This window comes from Homo sapiens, chromosome 22, assembly GCF_000001405.40.
Source record: "Homo sapiens chromosome 22, GRCh38.p14 Primary Assembly".
NCBI classification, from domain to species: Eukaryota; Metazoa; Chordata; class Mammalia; order Primates; family Hominidae; genus Homo; species Homo sapiens.
Genome location: NC_000022.11, coordinates 45,865,714 through 45,866,748, shown reverse-complemented (window position 1 = coordinate 45,866,748; position 1,035 = coordinate 45,865,714).

The window sequence follows — 1,035 nt, the reverse complement described above, 5'->3', positions numbered from 1 at the left end:
TCGCTCCCGGGCTGTGGCCTCGCGTCCCCGGGCCACGGCGCTGCAGCCACGCGGGCGGCGCGAAGTCGTGGAAGGCGCGGACCGTCCTCCCCGGGCACTGTGGGACTGCGGGCCTTCCCGGTCCAAGCCAAAGCACGTGCCGTGGAGCTCGGCCCCGCGCGGGGCAGAGGGAGTGGTCCAGGGCTCGGGAGCGCGCTGTCTCCACCTCCCCAGCACCCGCCTGCCCCGCGCCAGAGCTCGTCCCTTCCCCCATGGCCTACGGGAAGGGAGCTGGGTGTTCTCAGAGGGACCCGGGGAAGGGACGGCAGGGACCTCTCGACGACATGGAAGGAAAGAGGGGAGGAGAGGGAGGGTGGGCACGGGAAGGGGAGCAGCTGAGGGGCTGGGAGGGAAGCGGAGAGTAGCGCGGAGCCAGGCGGAGGAGCGGACTTGTTATTTACAGTTATTAATTGCTGGGAACAGATTGCAGCTGGAAACGCTCTCGGTGCCAGCTCTCGGTGCCAGCTGAACCTCTCGGAGCAAGCCCCATTCGCGCAGGCCGCTGTGAGCGAAGGCTCCACGCGAGCATCTCCTGGGTGTGGGATCTCGGTAACCCCAGGCCTCACATCCTAACATCCAGGCCCTGGAGCCTGTGAGCCTCCTGAGGGTCTCTAACCGACTCCGGCTGGACAGTGCGGGCCCTCAACTTGCCCTAGTATGAGTCATCGTGGCAACACCTCAGAAAATACCCAAGTCACTCCAATTACAGCATTATCAATCGCTGCCATCGCTCTGGAACTCAACCCAATGAAACTGGCGAGAATGCCAGCCGAGCCGGGCCAGGCCGGGAGGAATCCAGTTCTTGGCGAAGGCTGCCGGCCTGGCAGTGCGTCTGCGGCCATGCCAAGCCACAAGCCCTGTGTGGTCGAAGCTGCAGAGGTGTCGGCTCCATTTCACAGTCATGGACACTGAGGCCCACCAAGGCTAAGGCCTGTCCTTCAGCCCAAACCCTCGGGAGAAAACCCAGAGAGGGAAAGGCTGCCTGGGCAAAGCCTG